The sequence below is a fragment of the Homo sapiens genome, chromosome 18, assembly GCF_000001405.40.
Source record: "Homo sapiens chromosome 18, GRCh38.p14 Primary Assembly".
NCBI lineage: Eukaryota > Metazoa > Chordata > Mammalia > Primates > Hominidae > Homo > Homo sapiens.
In genome coordinates this window covers 25,153,018-25,175,149 of record NC_000018.10, presented here as the reverse complement: position 1 = coordinate 25,175,149, position 22,132 = coordinate 25,153,018, and the positions used below count along the sequence as shown (strand labels likewise).

The window sequence follows — 22,132 nt, the reverse complement described above, 5'->3', positions numbered from 1 at the left end:
TTGTAATGTACTCAAAGTCCTACCTCCCTCTTCACTTCTGTATTCCTCAGATCACCTTGGAAATTGGTGTAGAATTTCCATTAACATGTTTGCACTTAGTGATTCTTCTAGTTCATTGACAGGAATGGTAATAGTGCTGTATCATCTAATTACATTCGCTTTTACCGCTGGACCTTGGTCATGTTAATGTGGTAAGTATTTTAGGAAAAATGAGAAGACTTGTAAGTACTTAACATTTTATTGAAATTTAATTAAATAGTTAAGGGGTGATTAAAAATCTGAAATTAACACTCTTTAGAAATTAATGACAGTCATTAAGATGTAATGGGGCTGCTCACCAACAGTGCTCAGAAAGGTTGGGGGATTTAAATTTGCATGGGGGTCAGAGCAGTGAAAGATGTTGTTTATAGTCTCCTGAGCCTTGACTGCAATTTTAGAGTTGGAACGAAAGTGATTCTTTTTCTTGTTGTGTTGCCAGGATTACTGTATCTACAGTAATGGCAAGTTACATTGGGTGAGTCTGTGTGTCCACGAAGGTGGAGAGATGACCACGCTTGGCGAGCCTGTGCAGCTGCTAAGCTGCAGACCAAGCTTGCTTCTCTCAGGGCCTCCAAGGACTCCCTGAACCAATCCAAACACTCGCTGTCTCCCCCACCTGCCCTCTCAAAATAAGCAGCAGTTCATTATTTATACTAGCTTGAATCCTGGGTCCCCTTATGAGTAGAGACTAATGTTCACGTGGAATGGAGTGATATAATGTGTAACGATTTTTTGATATGAATTTCCACTCCCTGGAGACAACAGCAGCTTCACCATCACCACCTGACCAGGGTGGAGAGATCTAAAAAGCTAATATGTTGTCTCTGTGGTGGTTTCAGAGTTAGTGCTCCTCGAAAGGAAACTGTCACGGAGAAGTGTTCATCCCAAAAATGTCCTCTGATGTTTGCTTAGAAAGTAATTACTGATCTGATTTTTTGTTTTCCAGAATTCTAGAAAGGTATACATATAAGTAAGCATTCTTATTTCAAATTGATCGATGCAATAATAGTGATGTTGTTTCATTTAAAAAAAAGAATTCAAGTTGATGTGATCACTTCCAAAACATAAAAATGAATTTTTTAAAAAATATGTTAACTCTTGAGTTAATTAGTGCTCTGTATTTTCAGTCTTTCGGAAAACATACTTTTTGCCAGATAAAATGAAAGGAATGAATCTTAGATACACTTTGAGAATAATGATATTTTACAGAGTATTATTGCTGAAGTAAGGGAAGAATAGAGGAATTATTGAGTTAGATTTGAAAATTGGTTTAATAATCTGACAAAATATTTCCAGTGTTTCAAGTGGATGTTCTGTGTTAAAGAAATAGCACTGGAACATGACCCCTTTTTTCTTAAATTTTCTTTCCATTTTCCTCCTTAGTACTATTGGCTAACTTCGTTTTATATTTTTCCCATTCTGCTTTATCTCTTGTTTCCACCTGCAGCCAATTTTCAATTATTCCCCCTCATGCTAGTAAACATGGATAATCTAAAACACTTTATACAAATGATATTCATAAAAACATCCACATACTGCTGTATGATACATTTACAGATACATTTACAGCTCTTCCACCCCAAAATGAGAAGTGCACGTGGGGTGGTTGCCTTAAACAGTCAGGTGACAAGGAAACCTTTCACTCCTTACCAGAAAGCAGCCTTGGGAATGGTTGGCTACAAAGGAATTTAGCAGGGATTGGAGGGGAGAAAGGCTTGGGATGGAATGTGTGATGAGGAAAAGGTGTCCAGGTCAGAGGGATTATGCACAGTTCAAATAATGTGTGAGGATAATCAGGAAGTGACTGCATTTTGGCCTCCTTGGGGGCTCATCAAACCAGCACCTATCCCCTGATTAACCTCTGCGTTCCATCAGCCATGTAAATTAGCACAGGCCCACTAGCCCTGGGCCTGGAAGAAATCAAACTGTGGGAATGTACATATTTTAATAAAAATTGAATATGTGTCCCACAGCATCACTGTAGGACGCACTCAGATTTATCATTCTCACTGGCATCTAATGCATTATTGCTAATTATTGAATCTGGTAAATTTGGAGAAGAGTATAGAATACTTTGCGACAAGAGTTTTGTAAAACCGTTTGCGTACTTCAGTTACGTGAAGTAAAAAGCACCATGCAACTTCAGTTCCTTGGGATTTTTATTCACACAACTTTAACATGATATCTGCCTAATAGTAGAGAATTTTATATGTACAGGTGGATATTGGGTGGTGCATCCTTGAGTAAGCTTCATAATTCATGTGCAAAGCTTGGTTTGGATGATCACATATAACCCAGAAAAGATAGCTGAGACTTTAAGGGAAGATTTAGGAGTCAACGGGGTATGTTACTACAAGAATGGAAATGGAAGTAAAGGAACTCCCTTTCCATTTATATTTGAAATTTGTGTTTAGCATGTCAGCTTTCTACACATTCTCTTTCATGTCTTATCTACTCTAAAACGCATTTAGTAATGTCTATCACCACAGTACCTGGGTGCTTAGGTACTAAAAAGTGCTTTAAGAATGCAATTTGAAGACTGATAAATCAAGTCTGTTTAGCTCAGGGGAAAGAAAAGCTAAGTGGGATTTAGTAGAAGGGAATAATATTCCTAAAAGGAAATCAGTTTGATGCCAGTAAGCTTTTTGAAGTAGAAACTAATTTGAAAGCATAGAGGTCATGACTGAAATGGAGGACTCGACTGGACTATCTCATATTAGCAATTTGAGGGGAAGTTTCTTTAAACACAATAGATGGAATATAGAATAGCTTGCCAAAATCGGCAATAGAAAGAGGCTCAGTGAGCTAGTTGAATTTTTGGAAAGTACAGCATACTGGGGTAGAGCCACAAGCAGCATTTTAGAAGCTAATCCTAGGAGGCGTGAGAAATGTATTTATTGAATGTCTGATATAATTTCAGGCCTAAATGGGTGTATGGTTTTCCTCTCAATCTTCAAATGTTCTAGCATATCTATGCTGTCACTCTCTAAATTTGAACATTAATATGAAGAAGCAATTAATACTCTTTTCAATTAAAACAATTAATACATGTACTCTCCACCTCATGCCCCCTCTTCCCCCCCAAAAGAGAACTGCAGGAATCATATCATATGGTGTGTATCAACTTATATGCTGCAATACTTGAGGAGAAATAAACAATATAACACTGTTTATTACAGGGAGACAAATTACAGTTTTTGTTTCATGTGAAAAGTTTAGGGGTGGCAGCTTGACAGTAAATTCCATTAAAATCTACCCTGCCAGAGAATGCCAAGATTGTTCTTCATTCATTTTAGCATAAGGTTTAATTTTTTGCTGATTTTTAATACCAGTCAGTCATTCTTAGCATCATTGAATTAACTCTGAACCCTATATCAGTAAAGAGCCTTATGTTGCCCCATTTTATTATTACAGTGCAGTGCAGATTAGAATTGCATCTGTTAAGATTATATTGTGTATTGGATTTCAGTAGACAGAAGCACAGTAGTCTCATGAATATAACGGTTGGAGCCAATAACCTGTAACCATCACATACTTGTTCTATTGCAAAATCTGAACTAGTAAGGATTACATTTTGGAAAAGATTATAAATCTGTCACCACTAATCTAATCTTTACAGTGGCTTTGTAACCGTTTTAAGACTAACGATCATTACTTCTCTTGCTCTGATTTTAATCATAACACATATTTGATATTCCATAACTTTCTTTTGTTCCATTAGCACATGCATTATAAAGTGTACAACATTAATAAATAGAGGCATAATGAATGTGACTAATTGATTTTGGCAGTCAAAGACTGGCATACTTTTTATACAAAAGGGAATCCATTCAAAGAAGCTTAACTGCTATTGAGAGCAAGTCTTCGATGCAGTAATGGTTTCTAATTTCGATTGTGTGTGAGGTGAGCAGAATGCAGTTATTCCTAGTAACTCACCACTTAGTTTTTGTTGTTGTTTTGTTTATAATGCTCATTTATCAGATTCTCATTTCCCTAAATAAAAATTTTATGTTTCAGTCTACATATGAATTCTGTAGCACAATTATGAATGCAATTATTTTAAGTTGTCTGTCTCTCATAACTAAAGGTACATGATATAGACAGTATGCCACAGCTTATGTTTTTTGTCCCATCTAACTATATTTTCTTAACACTGACTTCTTAATACTGGAATCAGATTGTCCCAATAAATAAATCCACTGGTAGCAACTGATTTATTTGGACACAAAACAAATTTTTAACTCATAAATGCAAATGCCAAAATACAACATCTAGTAGATGTTAGTGAAAAATTAATTCCTTGAAACTCCAAGGGAGAAATAGGCCTGAATTGTATGATCAGTCTTACCTTTAAAAATGTGCATGGCCTTCAAAGCCAATTTTGCCTCCTTTATAAAATCTTTCAACACTAAATTATGTTACACGGCTACGATTTAATAGTGGACGTGAGATCAAATTGGGTGTCACTGAAGCATTAATCAACTAAGTGTCATTACAGATAGTTAACAACTCATGTGTTAAGCTTTGTCATTTGAAACCAGAGATAGTGTGTACCAACAGACTCATCACTTAGTGTAGTCAAAACTGATTTAGAGAGGATGAAGAATGACTATTGTTAAGGGTTTACAAGAACTAAAATTTATATTAAAAACAACTTTTTACTTTGCAGTCTGGCTCTACGGAAGGACAAAGATGTTGTATTTGGCTGTAATTAGGAAAAACTCTAATGGGAAGTCAGTCATTGCCAAGCACAGTGCAATTGATTTTCCACCAATCAGAATAGGGAATGAGATGCTCTAAGTCTATTATTAAATTATTTATGAAGTCATATTCAATCTGATCATTATTTCTGACATTTCAGGTTAGTGAAGATTTTCCAATCACTGTGAAGATAGGAACCAGAAGGTTGGTTTTGTGACTTGAGCATTGAACGCCGCCTTTGGTGGTTGTGCTTAAATGAGATAAGTGAGTTTTCCTTAAAAAAAAAAAAGAAAGAAAGAAAACTACTTCTATTAACATCTGCAGCTTAACTGAGGTATTGCTAGTCTTATTGACTGTAAACTCTTGTTTATGATTTGAAATCAGAATAATGTTTATTGGGAAAGAATACACCCTAGATCAGTATTATATTGTTAATAAAATGGCTGAGTAGTGACACACTTTAAGTTTCCTTCAGAAAAAGTCCTAATAAGATGCAAAAGTATTTTATAATTGCAGCATAAGTGACTCATACATACCGAAGAAAAACAGTGAAGATTTATAAGGACCTTATTAGTATAGTGAGATTAACCTTTGGATCTCTTACTCTGTTTTTCTAAACTGCTAATCCAGTTACCTTAAACATATTCCACCATCCTCCACACTCTATTCCCCACCCTCATTTCAGTATCCTAGAAGCAACTTCAGGACAATTGCTCTTCAAGAATCATGCAAATTGTAGGTCGTCATTTATTTAAAATATAAGAGATACCGATTTTACCATCTTAGATGTGTCATTTGACCTCTGGTTTTTCGTATTTATAAAGTAAAGGGATGGTATTTAATTATTTTAAACTAGTCTTTATTAAAAAAAATAGTGAAAGTAAGACAAATCTCAACACAAAAATTGCTGGCTTTGCACACAATACCCATTGTTTCATCAATGACTTGAAATTCTGGGCCTGTACCAGACCTGGACATCTGCAGTCCTGTGACAAGATGTACCTTGTATGAGCTGTCCACCCTCAGGAAGTCACTTTGTCATTCTGGGTCAGCTGTTTTATCTAGCAAGTGTGGATTGAAAATACCAGTACTGGGCACTTTCATGCAACTCTCATGAAGATCAATTCAAAAGACATGTTAAAGTTCCTTAAAAACAGTAAAGCAATAGGAAAATAATAGATGTCCAAAAATATATGTATTTTGCAAACCACTGTAGGTTCCATAGAAACTAGTGAGGCTAAATTAAGATGACCTTTTTGTTACTGAAATAGTTGGACAGTTAAAAGGGAAAGCCAAACCACCTCAAGAAGGAAAGCAAAGTATATATTCTGTCCATGGAATTATAATATAGTGCCAGGAAAATGTAGGAGGAATAATTGTGGAAACTATTACCTGTTACAGTTCCTTTTTCTGTCCCTCACACAATATGAAATACACACACACACACACACACACCCCAGACACAGAAACCAGTCATTGTAGGACCCAGTGATACAGTTTGTGTACTGAGTCTCCTGCTAAACTGAGATGATGGGTAAACTACTGCAGCTGGGAGAAATACTAACCTGCCTTCCCAGTTTACTCACACTTAGTGTCGATCAGGTCACACTGACATAGACACAGAGTGGTGTATATGTCAAGGAAGGTACTGTACGTGCCTGGAAGATATCTCAGGTAATTGGCTTGATACTTCCAGCAGGAGTCAAAAGTGTAAGGAATGTGTTCTTACTGTATTTGTAGCTCACGCAGTTTAGTGACTTTGGCACGTTCTGACTATCTCTTTTGTGGAGATAATTGTATAGATATTTAACTGTCTTCTCCCCTTCTTCCCCTATATTTAAAATCAAGGTTTTGCAGTTGTCTATTGTGGACTGCTTTTTGTTGGGAAGTCTGTGCCTCTCCTGGTATGTGTTTGGGACCGGGTGCACACTACACCTTTTCAGTTCCACAGGGATAGGACCAGATGGAAGAATTTGATTATCTAGCAGTAGAGGACCAACTGTTCAGTTGGATACAGAACCGGGAGAAAAGGGTTGAAGAGATCTAAAATGGCTGTCGTATGTGGAGCCAACAGTTTCCGAAGGGAACCAGGCAGGCACTGAGGTGTAGTAATGCAGAATCTCTTCCAAGTACCAGCTGGGGCTTTCAGGAGCCGCTATCCCCACAGCAGACACTCAGCAGGCTCCAAGCAGCTTGACTTTACCATATGTGGAACTTTTTATTCTCCACCTCGCTCCCTAGAGGGACGGGCCACAGGGACACCAGAGGCAGGTGAATTGCTCTTAATGCAGAGCACTAAATCACTGGGTTAACATGAGAAGCCTGGAGAGAGGAAATGGATCTGCAGAAGACTGACTCGGAGTCTCTTAACCTTGGAGCTATTCTGAGCACCAAAAAAGATACCGCATAATGTTTCATTAGGCTTTCACCTTGTGCATACCCTCTTTTATGCGAGTGACCTTTTCATCCTTGTACATATTTTCTAAATGCTTTTAAAAGCCATTCAATACTTCAGAATGCTAACTGTACATTTTTTATTCACACAGAATCATACCTTTAAAGTAATGAGGGAGCGGAACAGCACTGCAATCTGTGATTTGTGGGAATTTCTTGCTTTCTCTCCGTTCAGACACCCCAGTTTGACAGATGGGGCACAAAGCCACAGAGCAATCCATAACTCCAGTTTGTATCATAAATTTTTAGTCCCTCCTCCTCCACCAAATGCCTGCTTAATGGTAGCTAGAATACTCATGCAACAGTGTTGGCATGAATTGGTATAATTTGAGACATTTCTTCATATTGGCCATAGAAAAGCATTTTTTAAATAAAAAGACCAAGAAGGTTTTTGAGGTTTCAAAAATAACAAGCATCCACCTTTGTCCAAAAATAAGACAAAAATACAGATTTACTCAATATGGTCCTTCTTCAAGAATTTTGGTCAGGTAGGTTTTGTGTCTTCCAATTTTACTGGATTTATCTTATTCCTAAAACACTTCTGTCATTTTGGAGTATTTTACCTTTAGAATTAGTATTAATACTGATACCTGCCTTTAAAAATTCAGCCTATTACTGTAGAAGCACTTACATAAAACAAGTGTTTTTTGTATGTTTTAAGATTCTGTGAACTTTGGGCTGGTAAAGAGACAAGCAGCCCACAGAAATGTGGAAAATTGTGAATGTGAATCTGTAAAAATTAAAGTATACTTAAGACAGGGCTTCCAGGTGAACTTTCATGGCACCATATTGATTACCATTTGGTGACCACTTCCCTGTGAGACAGTAAGTACCCATTCAGATGAACTAGGTTCACCTGTGCTAGGAAGAGAACAATTAAACCTCACTTTCTTAAGCCTTAGGAATGTGTGCTTGGCTAAGGCTGAATCAGCAGAAAAGCAGTGATGAGAAATATATAAAGTAAAGCAAATTTAAGTTTATTATTAGTTAATGAAAAAAAGTAATCATTATTTTCCAACACTAATAGCATATTAGCTCAATAATATTGGTTAATCCATATCTTCAACAAATATTAATGTACGAACTAAATCAAATACTGCACCAGTAATCATACAGTTATAGGTGGAGTTGGACTAAACATTAATATCAATATTTAAATATGTGGCGCTGTCTTATAAAAGAAAGCTAATTCTGCCAATTGTCTAGTTATATGTTTTCTATAATAATTCATGTTAACAGAAACATGGATGTTTGTGGCATGATTTAGGGGATTGCAGGCAGAAGCAGCTATGTTCCTACATAGGAAAAGATTTGAATTATATTTTTGTATTAAAAGTCTACAAACAACAGAAAGAAGAAAGATTGACAGTGTACAATATAGTGAAGTGTATTTCTATTACGTCAGTGGGTAATGTGTGCATATGTGTCTTTATCTCTTCTTTAAAAATAATGATTTGCAATCTTTTTAATGTGCAGGCATAATGATCTAGAACCAGAAATATATCCTATGGCAAAATGATAACAAGAATCTTGTTTAAAAAAATCCAGTTAACTTCAGCCCACACATTGAGGCAAATTCTATTTATCTAGTGAATTTCAAATTTACTCAGCTACTTTGGAATTTTGAATATCGTGATAGCAATTCATTCTGTTTATGCTTCCCACTTGAGCTACAGTCAAAGGGTAGAGAATGAAGTATATAGCAACAGGTTTGATTTGTAGAAAAATCTGTACCCTGTGTCTTTTATTTCATTAAAAAGAGTAGAAAAACTTGAATGTGATGGAACAGCAGAGATTGTGTTGAGAAAGTGAGTTTTAAAGATTTTTTTCAAATCTGTATTTATAAAGGAAAACTTTAAAAAATGGATAGCACTTTTGTGTTATATGTGGACTAACCTACCTTTAAGACTTTTTGACAGGAGAGACTAGAAGCGGTTGGTGGTTTCTGGAAATAATGGCTGTAGGCTGTAACTGATGATTTAAGCCAATTAAACACACAGAGTGGTTCTTTTTGGTGTTGTTTGGCAGAAAACGATGAAATGGTGTTGCCTGATAAGGAAGAGCCCAGCGTATGTGTGATTTCTTATGCACATGTGCTAGAATCAGTGCAACTCATAAATTCAAATTACTTTTAAAAGCTGGTCATGATACATTTGCTCATTAACCATATGGAAAATGGCACTCAGGAATTTTCTACAGTGTGTTTTCAAAGAAAGAATCCAATTGCAGGCAGACATTCCTTAGTACAGTGTTTATGCAGCTGTACTTGTGATTAAATTACACCAACTCAGGCCCACATGTAGCCACAGAACTTATTACTTTGAGTACAAAGCACCTTGTAGGAGTATGAGAACTCTCATTGTGATGTTTTTTGGCCTCTTGGCCACTGTATCAAGCAAGCATCAAAAGTCATGCATGTGCTCTGAGGTCTCTGGAGAAGGAGCTGTGGGACAGAACAGAGCTGCTCACACTGTATGAGGAACTTTGACAGTCTACCGGGGGACGGTGGGATTGCTGCTGTCAGCAGTTCCAACAGCGCAAACAGTGTGAAGAAGCTTCCACAGGGATTGAATTACTGAAGACTTCTGCTCCGTGTTTTTTGGTATAATTGAGAGCACAGAGGGAGCTTGATTTCTCTGTCTTATGATTTGAAGGTGAAGACAAGAGCCTGCAGGGCTCTGTCAGAGTTATGGGCATGCTCAACCCAGACTTCAGAAAAATCTAATTCCCATAAAACCTTACAAGGCTGAATTGCTTACCTGAATATAAAAGATTTACTTTCACTGAATCATTTAACACACAACCATATTAATTGCATTTTGAAAAAGAAAAGAAGCATAGAATACAGTACAACTGAAAAACCATATGGGGTTAAAAGAGTGCTTCAGTTTAAAATGCATGTTTGAAAGTGAAACTGGTGTGTACAGATGCTCTGACATACTTAGCCACACACGAACACGAAAGTCATATCTTTCGGAAAGAGCACGACATCGGTGTTCATTATTATCTCTATTGAAAATGAATTAATACCCCTTCCTCTGTATTCTGGAGGGGCAGACCTATCCAGGTGTATTGCATTTATACTGCGCCAGTGGGTATAACTATTATTCTGATTACACAAAAACAAATAAGAGTAAAAAATGCCAGCTGGTCATCTTCTGTCACTTTCAGCATAAATAGTGAATTGAGTGCCCCCCTCCTGGGGGTGCCCAGGGAGGGGCAGCAGTGTGATCTCCTGGCACTCTAACCACCTTTTCCTTCCTTTTTCACACATAGTCTGACCCAAATGCTTCCCTTGTATGGGGAGAAGCCAACCGTGACAACTTAGTCCCAGAGCGAGGGCAAAAATCTCCTGAGATATGCTCCCAAATAGGAAAGGATAGCATTGCTATACCCGCATGCAGTTTAAATTAAACTGATAGTAACACACAGGACTACTTTGATCTTCCTAGTTTCTTTCCGTGCAAAAATGTGGTCAAAATGCATGATAAATATGAAACCTTCTTGAAATGGTAGCTTGCTGTTTGGACTCAGGTGCTGGCCTGGGAGGAAGTGTTTCATGTACAGGCTTTCTTCTTGCAAAATGAAGGTGTTCCATCTTTGACCACCACTTAACCTCATCTATTGGGGTTGGCTCTCCTGCCCTGTCACGACTACTTGGACATCTTTAGACATGCTTCCATCAGAAAGCAAGTTAACCCACTCCGGGGACAGCCCTGCAAGGCACAGAAGCTGCAGGAGTATTTACACAGTTAACCAGCATACTTTATTTAACTATTCCTACTTCAAGCTATTTGGCAGGGAAGTGGGGGGGATACCACCCTAGAACAAATACCAATTGTTAGCTTCACTTTCACATTGCCAGCAAGCAGATCTTTTCCAACTGGGAGTAATATCCTGTTAGCTATGTTTAATTCCTATTTTACCTGGGGGATTGAGAGTACCAAATGATTTCAGCTGCTCAGGCATTACATTTCGATCTGTCCTCTCCTTCTGCCCCTGTCTTTCTCACATACTCCTTCTGGGACCTTCCTATCATTTATAGTGAAAGGACAGCTTTTCTGTAAACCCAAACCAGCAGGCCCTGTTCCGAAAAGGAACCTTCTGATATGTCGCGAGGGAAAGACACACACCTACCATCCCACACACACTGTTCTACCTGTGTTTTTGGCAAAAAGCCCCCATACCTGCAACACAGCAATTCATCCTGCATCAGATCCATTTCTTTTTTTCACTTGGCAAAATGGTTTTGAGCAGGAACGTATGTGTATGTGTAACTTTTGGTTAGAGGCAGTTTACCTTTAGCCATGAAATGGGCACTGTGTACATGGTGTTACCACAGGCGTTCTGTTCCAATTGCATTGTGTCTTAACAACAAAGCCCCCCATGAAACTCAATAAAATTACCAATTTCACAGTTGATTTTCTTCCTGCTCTGCTCTGCAGCCCTCACACTCCTGGCCTGTCTCCACACACTGCAGGGGATGGTGTCGGACCAAACCAATAGCACGGTGCTAAAAAGGGGCTTGATATAAACCAGGCCAATCTTAATTCTAATTAGTGTGTCCAGCAACTTTTAAATCTTTGAGCCATCTTTGTTATAAAAAATACTGCCATCAGCTTATTATGAATAGGAAGAAGACAGTTATCTGTGTGGTTGAGATAGCACTGTTTGATTCAGGCCATACTTGCATTGCACAGAACATATGTGGATCCATTTTATTTATCATACTATGCTGAGTTTTCTCCTCTGATATTATTGACTATGCTAACTTTGATAATTTAAAATCAATCAAAGCTGTAGGACCTACGGTATATAAACCTTGGTTCATTGATTAGAAAGCAAGCATTCTAGATCTAATTCAGCTACTAACTAGCTATGCAATCCTGAATTATAGTCTCTTCTTGCCTGCATCTCTGCAAATGAAAGAGCAAAATACAGATGGAACAATGGAGAAAAATATATGCAAGTGCCATTTTATGTTGATCTTAGATTAATAGTTAAATAATGAACATATTTTAAGGCTTAGGTGAATCCAGTCTTAGCATATTAAACCCTACAGGGCTTGTTAACTACAGACAAAAAAAAAATCTAACCTAATGCCTCCTGTAAGATACAGCTTAAAAATCATGCTTAAATTGTAAGTGTCTTGTTCTGTGATTAAAATACTCCAGACACAGAGATCACTTCCTTTACTTTATTTCAATTACTGCTATTTATTCTTGTAGGAACCACATCCAACCCCAAATCCATGCCTGAGTTGGATATGAATTTTGTCACTGAAGCATCATTGGCAGTCATTTTCACTGCATTTTTACATCAAATAACAGACTGTCTGGTCTGATGGCCAAGCCCTGTTGGACTTGCTTTACAATCTCTAATGTCTTATAGAAAACATTTAAAAATGTATTGGCATGCAAGAGAAGTTTGTTGGATGATTGATTAATCAACTGAATGAATGAGTAAACTTAGATGATAATTTTGTGTGTTGCAGAAATAGATGTAGTGATGCCCTAGTTATTTAGAAACACTGAAAATTATTATAGAATTCCGTATCCATACATTATAATAATAAATTTGAAATATCATCTTGCTTTTATGTCCTTCAATTATTATTCTTATCTTTATTTTGTATCTTTAGTTTGATTGAACCTTATCTATTTTTGCAGTCTTCATTTGCAAGTATCTTAGAATGATAGTTATTCTCATGTATGAATGTTAAGGCCTTTTTTTCCCATCAATTCTAACTTCATTGAAACGACTATTTGTAACATTGAACATTTGATTTCAGGTTGGAACACAGTCATTGTTCTCTTCATGATCACATACAGAGGAAGGAAAATAGGTTCAGGCGAGCTAAAAGAGTGACCCAGCAATGGAGTTTCTCTTGGGAAAACATGAGTCACAGAGGAGATTTAAATTTTCTTACATTTTCTGTCCTGTACTCCACTCCCCTGAGGACTAGGAAGTTTGAAAATCCCACAGAAGGTAGTTCCCATGTGCCCAGGAACCACTGCTTGTCATGTTGTAACCCGCCATCATTGTTAATGAAGTGGTTGGGGAATTTCAGAAGTCTACCTGCTTGTCTGTCTTTTGGGCTAGAAATCAGAATATTAGTAGCAAAAAGATTGCAGTGCCCTGTTAGTCTGAAAATATTGAACAAATCACATCATTTTAGTGCTTAACCTACTCTCTGTACATTAGTCAGCTCTTTCTTGCATTAACTCAAATGACCAGCAAGCCGTTTTAAAAGTTAACGCATCAGTGTGTGATGTACATGCAGTCTTCCATTCATTCAGGAGATTCTGTGATTTTGTAAGTTTCAAATCAGCTCATTGTCTTCAAAAGAGTTTTAAGTGAAATTAAATCTAGTCATTTATATCTGTCTTCAAATAATTATTTTAGACTGTGACTAGTGGGAAGAATTGAGGAAACACACCATTTTACTTACAAACAGCCTTCATTCACAATGCTGGCCATTTCACCACACATCATGAACCTTAAAAGTAGCTGCCAACAACCATTCCCCTCCATTGTGTCCATAAAAAGTGGCATTTCTTTTTCTGGACCCCCACAGCAGCTGTCACACTTGATTTCCATGAGATTTTCTATATGTACTTCCCAAATAACGTTAATTGCCTTAGAACAACTTAAAATCCTTCATGTTGAAGGAAATGTGTCCAAACAAAACTTCCCCCAACCACCGTGTGTGTGGTATGTGTGTGTTTTAGAAAAATTATTAGTGAGCCTGCCTTCCATCAGGTGCTTTGAGGGAGAAGGAGACAAAGGGAGTGTGACGTACTAGGAGGCCTCTGGTTTGAGGTGCTCCCGTCACAAGCCTTCATAATGAGTATATTGCATATTGCCATGAGTTATCATGACTGTGACCTGCCTCAGGAGGTCTCATGCCACATCTGTATTAACAACTGCATCTGCTTCAGGGTCACCTTATTAGCTTGCCACAGCTGAGCCAGGGGCCTCAGGAGGTATCAGACTGGGTCCTCAGGGAGGCCTGGTACTTCTGCTCTCCTTAAATTCAGTTTGGTGCCCAAAATTTAACATCAGGACCTGCTGAATTTTATTTGGAATTATCTACTCTAGCATCTCTTAACAGAAAAAACACACACATATACACACACACATCCCCCTAAAAATTGTCAACCTCCCCAAATGTCATCTCTCATTCCCATTATGGCATACGGCTTGTTTGTTTCACATGAAAAGCAATGGAAATATCAGAGGAAAAGTTCTCACCTTGATTTGTTTTTCTTCTCACCACGGGAATGTACAAAGTGCTGTAAAGAACACAAAACCTAGAGAACACATATGCGCGAACTTATCTGTGGAACTTTTACTTCTAAACCTGACAACGAAGATAGTAAACAAAAATTCATCTGAATGAGTGGTGATGTGTGTGTATGTATATGTGTAATGTGTGTGTGTGTGTGCATAAGTGCAGTGTGTCCATGTATGAAAGAATCCATGAGTGAGTCTTAGCTCTTGCAACCAAATTCCTAAAAAGAGCCCTTTAATCACTTGCTTCAAATTAATCACGTAGTGTGGAATTTGGCCACATGTGCATCATTCATTCACCCTCTGGACAGTAAGAGGGACAGAGAAGCATCAGTTCACCAGGGAACATATCTAGGTCAACATCTTACAGGCAAAATTCCCAGAGTGCACTGGTGGCTGCACTGTTCTATCCTCTGACGGGCAAAAGTTTACCCGATTTCATTTTCATGACTTTTTCATTTAATGTTGCCTTGACAGTAAAGACGAATAGAGTAGTAACAAACATGCGGCTAAAATAACCCCCTGATGGCTAATCCAGATTGTGCCTAACAAAATTCCACCTTGAACCAGAAGAGTGTCCTGGCAGGTGAGTTGTCTGGTGCCTTTGCATACCCTCATCTTCCCATCTCTAGAACTTCCAAAGTATTTCCTTAAGCATTTTCTGATATGATTACAAACTAATGACACATTATTTTATGTTGGCATTTTTAAGGCTATTTTCAGCTGTCATTTGTAGAATACCTTGCACTGAGCTTAGCATGACACATATTGTCTCATTTACTCCACCCGCATAACCATGTGTACTATTATCTTGGTGTTACACTGAGAACACCAAGGCCGAAGGATGCTGAGTAGCTTGTCCAAAGCCACATATCCTGAGTCTTTCTTAGTGAGTGTAACTTTGTTGACCCCGATGTGACATTTCTAAATTTGGCACAGTGAAGTGGCCCCCTTATTCTGTCCAGCCCTATCAAGGTTCACAGCTTCTTTCCTCTCCCAAGTATTAACTGTGTAACTACCAAACTACTCTGAATTTTGCAGTGACCCACTCAATCAGTACCTAGCTGGAGGACTTTCCCTCATCATCCACAGATGTGATCGTTATTTAGTCATCAATCTTACAACCCAAAATATCTATGGTTTTTTTTTGTTAGTGTTAGTCGTTTCTCCTCTGCAGAAAGCAACACTCCTGTTTTTTACATGTTCCCTGGTTTAGATTCTTTTCTCAGCCAGTAATAGCAGAAAACTTAAACATCTGTATGTCTTTCTTTAGATCACAATTTCTTTCTACCCTGCCCCCAGGATATTCCTGGATGCTGGGGTTATCCAAACTTTGGGCAACATAGCAAATAAATGTACTGTGAAGAAAATAAAAAGAAAATTGTCATGGAAGAAACTGTTTACCTCACTTTGTAGAATACACCCCACCATGCCAAGTGAGCACAACTTAATTGATAATGATCAGCTTCTCGGTTACCTTTAACCATTTTCTTGTAACCATATCCTAAAGTTGCAGCACTTTACATTTCACTGTAAAGAAGGCTCTGAATGGGGGCAACCGGGCAAATCACTCTGATGGGCAGACTTGGATAAAGCAGTCTTCTGTGATTTTATATTCTTATTTACCTCTCACACTTTACATGTTTGCTGGATGTTTCCTTCTTTCATTTTTTTGTTTGGTAGTTTTACCTTTCTTTTTTTTTTTTTAAGATGGAGTCGCACTGTGTCGCACAGGCTGGAATGCAGTGGTGTAATCTCAGCTCACTGCAACCTCCACCTTCTGGGTTCAAGTGATTCTCCTGCCTCAGCCTCCAGAGTAGCTCTGATTACAGGCACACACCACCACACCGGCTAATTTTTTGTATTTTTAGTAGAGATGGGGTTTCACCACGTTGGCCAGGCTGGTCTTGAACGCCTGGCCTCAAGTGATCCACCTGCCTCGACCTCCCAAAGTGCTTGGGATTACAGGTGTGAGCCACCACACCCGGCTGGTATTTTTTCCTCTTCTTACCTCATTTCATTTCCTTTTCTTCTTCCTTCCCTGTGTTCTTTAGCATCCTCAACTGTTTTACAGAGTGTCTCTTTTCATGCTTTCGTGGTTTCATGGATAATAGTGTTTCCTTTTCCTTTGAAGATTTCTTCCCTAAAAATCAGAGAATAACAATATAGAGAAGTTATTCCTGTATTTCCTTTGAATAATCTGTATTTTTGATGATTATGGCCAATTGGGAAAATGCAGAATAATTAATTAAAATTTAAATTAATTAAAAAATTAATTACTCAGAACTGTAAGAGGTGGTACATTGTAGCATTTTGGAATGTTTTCTTCAAGTTTTTTCTTTCTTCAGCCTTTTAAAAAATTTATGCAAATATACATGCACATGCATATATACTTTAAATATATATATGATCTTACTATATACAATATAATATTTTAAATGGTTTCTGCTTTTCCTCCTCAAAATTAGTACATAATACACCTATCCCTTTGTCATTAAATATCTTCAAAGATATCAAGTATTTAACGAAACCACAACTATTCTATGAGATAGGTACTACTGTTATCCCCATTTTATATTAGAGAAAACTAAGCACTAAAAGGTTAAGTAGGCCAGGCGCAGTGGCTGATGCCTGTAATCCCAGCACTTTGGGAGGCCGAGGTGAGTGAATCACCTGAGGTCAGGAGTTCAAGACCAGCCTGGCCAACATAGTGAAACCCCGTCTCTACTAAAAATACAAAAAAATTAGCTGGGCATGGTGGCAGGTACCTGTAATCCCAGCTCCTCTGGAGGCTGAGGCAGGAGAATCACTAGAACCCCAGGAGACAGAGCTTGCAGTGAGCCAACACAGCACCATTGCACTCCAGCCTGGATGACAGTGCAAGACTCCGTCTCAAAAAAAAAAAAGAAGGTTTAGTAGCTTCCCCAAGGCCACACAGGTAATAGTTGGCAGGATTTGAACTGAGCAGTTTGGAAGTTCAGAGACTGGTTCTAAATCACTGAGACACAGGGACTCCTTCTTTATATTCTTTATATGCCTTAATGATTGCAAGACAGTTCCTCACACACTTGTGCCCATCTTTGCTTAAGCAATCCACTTAGACGTTTTGCACGGTCTACACTGGACACTGAATTGTTACCAACGTGTTGCTCTTCTAATAGTATTATCTCTGATTATCTCCTTAGGATAAATTCTGTGAGTAAGAAAGTAAAAGAACACTCTTAATGCTCTTCATTTGAACTTTCCCGTTTCTGATCACTGAAGTTATACTGAATCACATCTCTATCTTTGTGTGTGAATACCCATTCCTCATAAACTTGACCACACTAAATCGTAGACTTTTTTAAACAGACATTTTACATTTTAAACCCTCCATCAGATATGTAGCAACAATCTGTCATTTTAATTTTCAATTTTTTATTGTTAGTGAGATTGATTATTTGCTTTTTTTTATTTTTATTTTTGTGAGATGGAGTCTCACTCTGTCACCCAGGCTGGAGGCAGTGGTGCAATCTCGGCTCACTGCAAACTCCGCCTCCCAGGTTCAAGCGATTCTCCCACCTCAGCCCCCGGGTAGCTGGGACTGCAGGTGCCCATCACCATGCCCAGCTAGTTTTTCTGTTTTTAGTAGAGACAGGTTTTCGTCATGTTGGCCAGGCTGGTCTCGAACTCCTGGCCTCAAGTGATCTGCCCGCCTCGGCCTCTTAAAGTTCTGGGATTACAGCATGAGCCACCTTTGCCATTTCTATTTGTTGTTATTTTGGCAAGAGCTCCTTCATGCCTCATGTCCACTAAAAATTGGTTTGCTGTCTTCATATTGATTTCTAAGAACTCTTCACGTTTTAAGACTATGAGATGTTTTGTCTTTCAGAATACTATTTTCCCTTTATTTGCTATTTACCTTTTTAGTAGTGTTTAATATGCATATATTTTTCATTCTTAGGTATTTTTAAATGTAACATATAGATTTTCCATATATATGAAAAACAATTACATATATATGGGGTACTAGTAGCCTTTGCAAATTACAACAGTCATCAGATGAAGAAAATACTCTTGCCTGGATTGTATATATAGGTAATGTATAAAATTTAAGTCAAGATTTCAATGGATTAAACCAGGTCCAGTCTTTCTACTTTGCTCATTAGACTTTTTAAAGTGTATTGAAATATATATGCACATGTGTGAATTTTGCATCTCTGCTTTGAAGAGACGAATGAGCGTGAGAAAATGTTTCTTCTGAAATAAAGAACACTGATGTATAGGTTTTTATGCAGTGAAATCCCCCACACAGAATGCAAGTACCTAGAGGAAAGGCACTGTGGGAAGTTCATAGAAATGGATGCTGATGGGAACTGGACTCTCAATTTGGCTCTGCCATTCTAATTGAGTGGCATTAAACAAGTCCATTTCCCCTTATTTTTTAAAATTGTCTGTATTTAAGGTATAGAACATGATGTTACAAGATAAATACATATAGTAAAATAGTTATAATAATGGGAAAACCTAACAAATCTATCATTTCACATAGTTACCCATTTCCGCCTGCTGTGGTCAGAGCAGCTATAATCTCCTCATTTTAGCAAAAATTCTGAGTACAGTACACTATCACTAACTATAGTCCTTATGTTGTACATTAGCTCTGTTGACTAGTTCTTCCTACATATTTGCTTTATGTCCTTTAAACTTAATATCTTTCCCACTGTTTTATTCTCTATATGTTTTATTTAACCTTTTATTAAGATTACACATATAAGTGAGAATATTCAATATTTTTCTTTTTGTGCCTGGCTTATTTCATTTAGCACAATGTCCTCCTGGTTCATCCATGTTGTACAAATGGCAGGATTGCCTCCTTTTTTTAAGACTGAATAATATTCTATTGCATATATTTATACCACAGTTTATCCATTTGTTCATACATCCAAACATATATGGACAACTAATTTTGGACAAGGACACCAAAAAGACACAGTGAGGAAAGGATAGGCCTTTCCATACATGCTACTGGGAAAACCAGATTTCCATTTGCAAAAGAATGAAATTGGGCCCTTATCTTACACTGTACACAAAAATAAACTCAAAATGGATAAAAGACCTAAATGTAAGACCTAAAACCATAAAATTCCTAGAAGAAAACATTGGAGAGAAGCTCTTTGACATTGGCTTTGGTAATGATTTCTTGGATATCACACTAAAAACCCTAGGCTACCAAAACAAATATAAATAAATAGGGCTACATCAAACTAAAAAACTTCTGCAGAGCAGAAAAAAATCTGCTGTGGAAAAAAGCAACAAAATGAAAAGGGAATTGCTAGATTGGGAAAAAATATTTGCTAACTTTATATCAGAGAATGGGTCAATAGGCAAGATTAATAAAGAACTCATACAACTCAATAGGAAGAAAACATACAACCCAATTAAAAAATGGGTAAAGAACTTGAATAGATGACAGGACTTGAAGTAAACTTCCCCAAATATGATATAAAAATGGCCAACAGTTACAAGAAAGAGTGCTCAACATCACTAATCAAGGAAATGCAAATCAAAACCACTATGAGATATCACCTCACACCTGGTAGGATAGCAATTACTAAACGACAAGATATCACAAATGTTGATGAGGGTATGGAGAAAAGGAAACCCTTGTCTGTTGGTGAGAATGTAGGTTGGTGCAACCATTATAGAAAACAGTATGGATGCTCCTAAAGAAATAAAAAATAGAAGTAATATAGGACCCAGCAATCCCTCTTCTGGCCATATACCCAAAGAAAATGAAATCACCACCTCGTAAAGATATCTGCACTCCCATGTTCATTGTGCATTATTCACAATAGCCAAAATATGGAAAGAACTTAAGTCTTCATCAATGCATGAGTCATCTTATTTTTAAAGAGAAGGTGTGTACTAGACAATTTCTAAGGTCTTGTTCAGCTCACCCTTCTCTGAGTTTATCAAAAAGTGTATTTTATCACCTTTTAGCTTCTAGCTCATCTGATTTGAGTTATTTACAGGTAGATTATTTGAGTTACTTATAGGTGATTTTATTAAATTTCAGGGTATTGAAGGCTAATAAAATTTCTTCCCCCAAAGCACTTGGGATGAGGTTGGTACCTCAACTTATATTAAGAATTTGTTGATTGAGTGATTAAACTTCTGAAGTTCACTTTTGCCTATTTTGCCTCTTTTCCTTCACCCCTACCTGATGGTTCCTTAGAACCATCCCATCAGAGCTAGGTGAATGACTCAGGTATTCACCTATTTTGAGATGTCTCTGAGAAAAATCTTTTTGTCCACATTTCATGTCAGTTGGCCAACTTGTATAAACCTTGGTAATTAATTAATGGAGAAACAGCAATAGCAATTTTAGAACTGGTGTAGAGATTAGCAGCTTCGGGCCACAGCATGTTTCTAATTTAATAATGGCTTTAATAGTTGTAGAAAGGAAGCCTTTTAAGAAAAAGTTCATGTTGAATTTGGGACTTTTTTCCCCAAATAGCTTGAACCAGAATGAAATCAACAATTCTTTCCATCCAGGATACCCTCATTTTACTAATGGAATTGACTATTAGGGAAGAGTAGGTTCAGATTTGGAAGATGGTAAACCATCTGAATGGACACAGAACACAGAACTTGACACTTCCTCGTTGCTTCTTTAATCTTGTCATTGTTTCTGTGACTTCTCCTTTTGCCCTATTCCTGATTTCTTAGAACCATTGACATTAGAACTGGAAATACTCAGGATTGTATGAGGGAGATAAAGTATCTGTGCTTGTTTTGTTGTGTTCTTGATATTACGACTGGTGAACCTTTGTCGCTTCCTTTAGAACTGTGCAAAGGCATGTTGGAGAGGAGAAGGAGGAGAAGAGGAATGGGTTATAGGACAAAAGAAAAAAAAAGCAATCATGCTAAAGCCTTTGAAGTGTTAGACGATCCATCTGCCTGTTAGAGTCTGAGGCTGAATCCCTTTTTAAAATGCATCAAATGTTTGAGTGTGAAGTTCGGTCCTGACAGCATCTGTGATTCTCTGTGGAGACATCCGCAGTGCAGTTTCCCAGATGCTGTCTGTATTCACACGAGAAGAGTTTGATCCAAAGACCTAGCCAGACTGGGACCATGTGGAGTTGAAGTAGACAGGCCGTTTCAGCAAGGCCCTGTGAAGTCTCAGTAGCCAGGCCCCATAAAATCAGAGTGGGACGAGCTTGAGGCTTTTAATTCCAACCTGAAGCCATGTTGTCAAGCTTCTCATTATCCCAGTACCAGAAGGTAATAAGAGAGGGGGCAGGGTAGAACAGGCTTCCCCATGACTTCATAAATCCTGCTTGTGATGAAATGTGTATAGGCAGTGTAGGAAATAAATTTTTAATTTGAAAGCACAGATTTTTATTAGAGAGTTGTAGTATCATGATTTCCATTTACATGACCAAGTGAATTACTTAAAATATTAGTATAAATTATATGCAACTTGAAAGTTTAGCTGACCAACATTCTCCATACTGACAGCATTACGATCCACTTAGTAATAGTACTTCATGTACCAAAATACATAGTAAACACAGCCATCAGCACCATTAGAAAATATACATTTAAAACCTTAAACCTAGCTGTTTCACTATTTGTCAGTAACTATTTTATAAAGATCACA

At 37.6% G+C, this 22,132-nt stretch overlaps 1 protein-coding gene across 9 annotated transcripts in view, besides 1 other annotated feature; it reads left to right on the top strand.

The window, feature by feature from the left end:
- The window catches only part of ZNF521 (zinc finger protein 521), a 290,243-nt gene that overhangs the window by 177,017 nt on the left and 91,094 nt on the right, over positions 1-22,132 (top strand). The gene's annotated exons all lie outside the window — the stretch shown is intronic.
- Positions 8,844-10,446: an enhancer, noted in NCBI's record as "VISTA enhancer hs1027". NCBI's record gives its function as "enhancer in: hindbrain (rhombencephalon)[4/9] | forebrain[5/9]" and the evidence as "EXISTENCE:transgenic organism evidence [ECO:0001131][PMID:17130149]".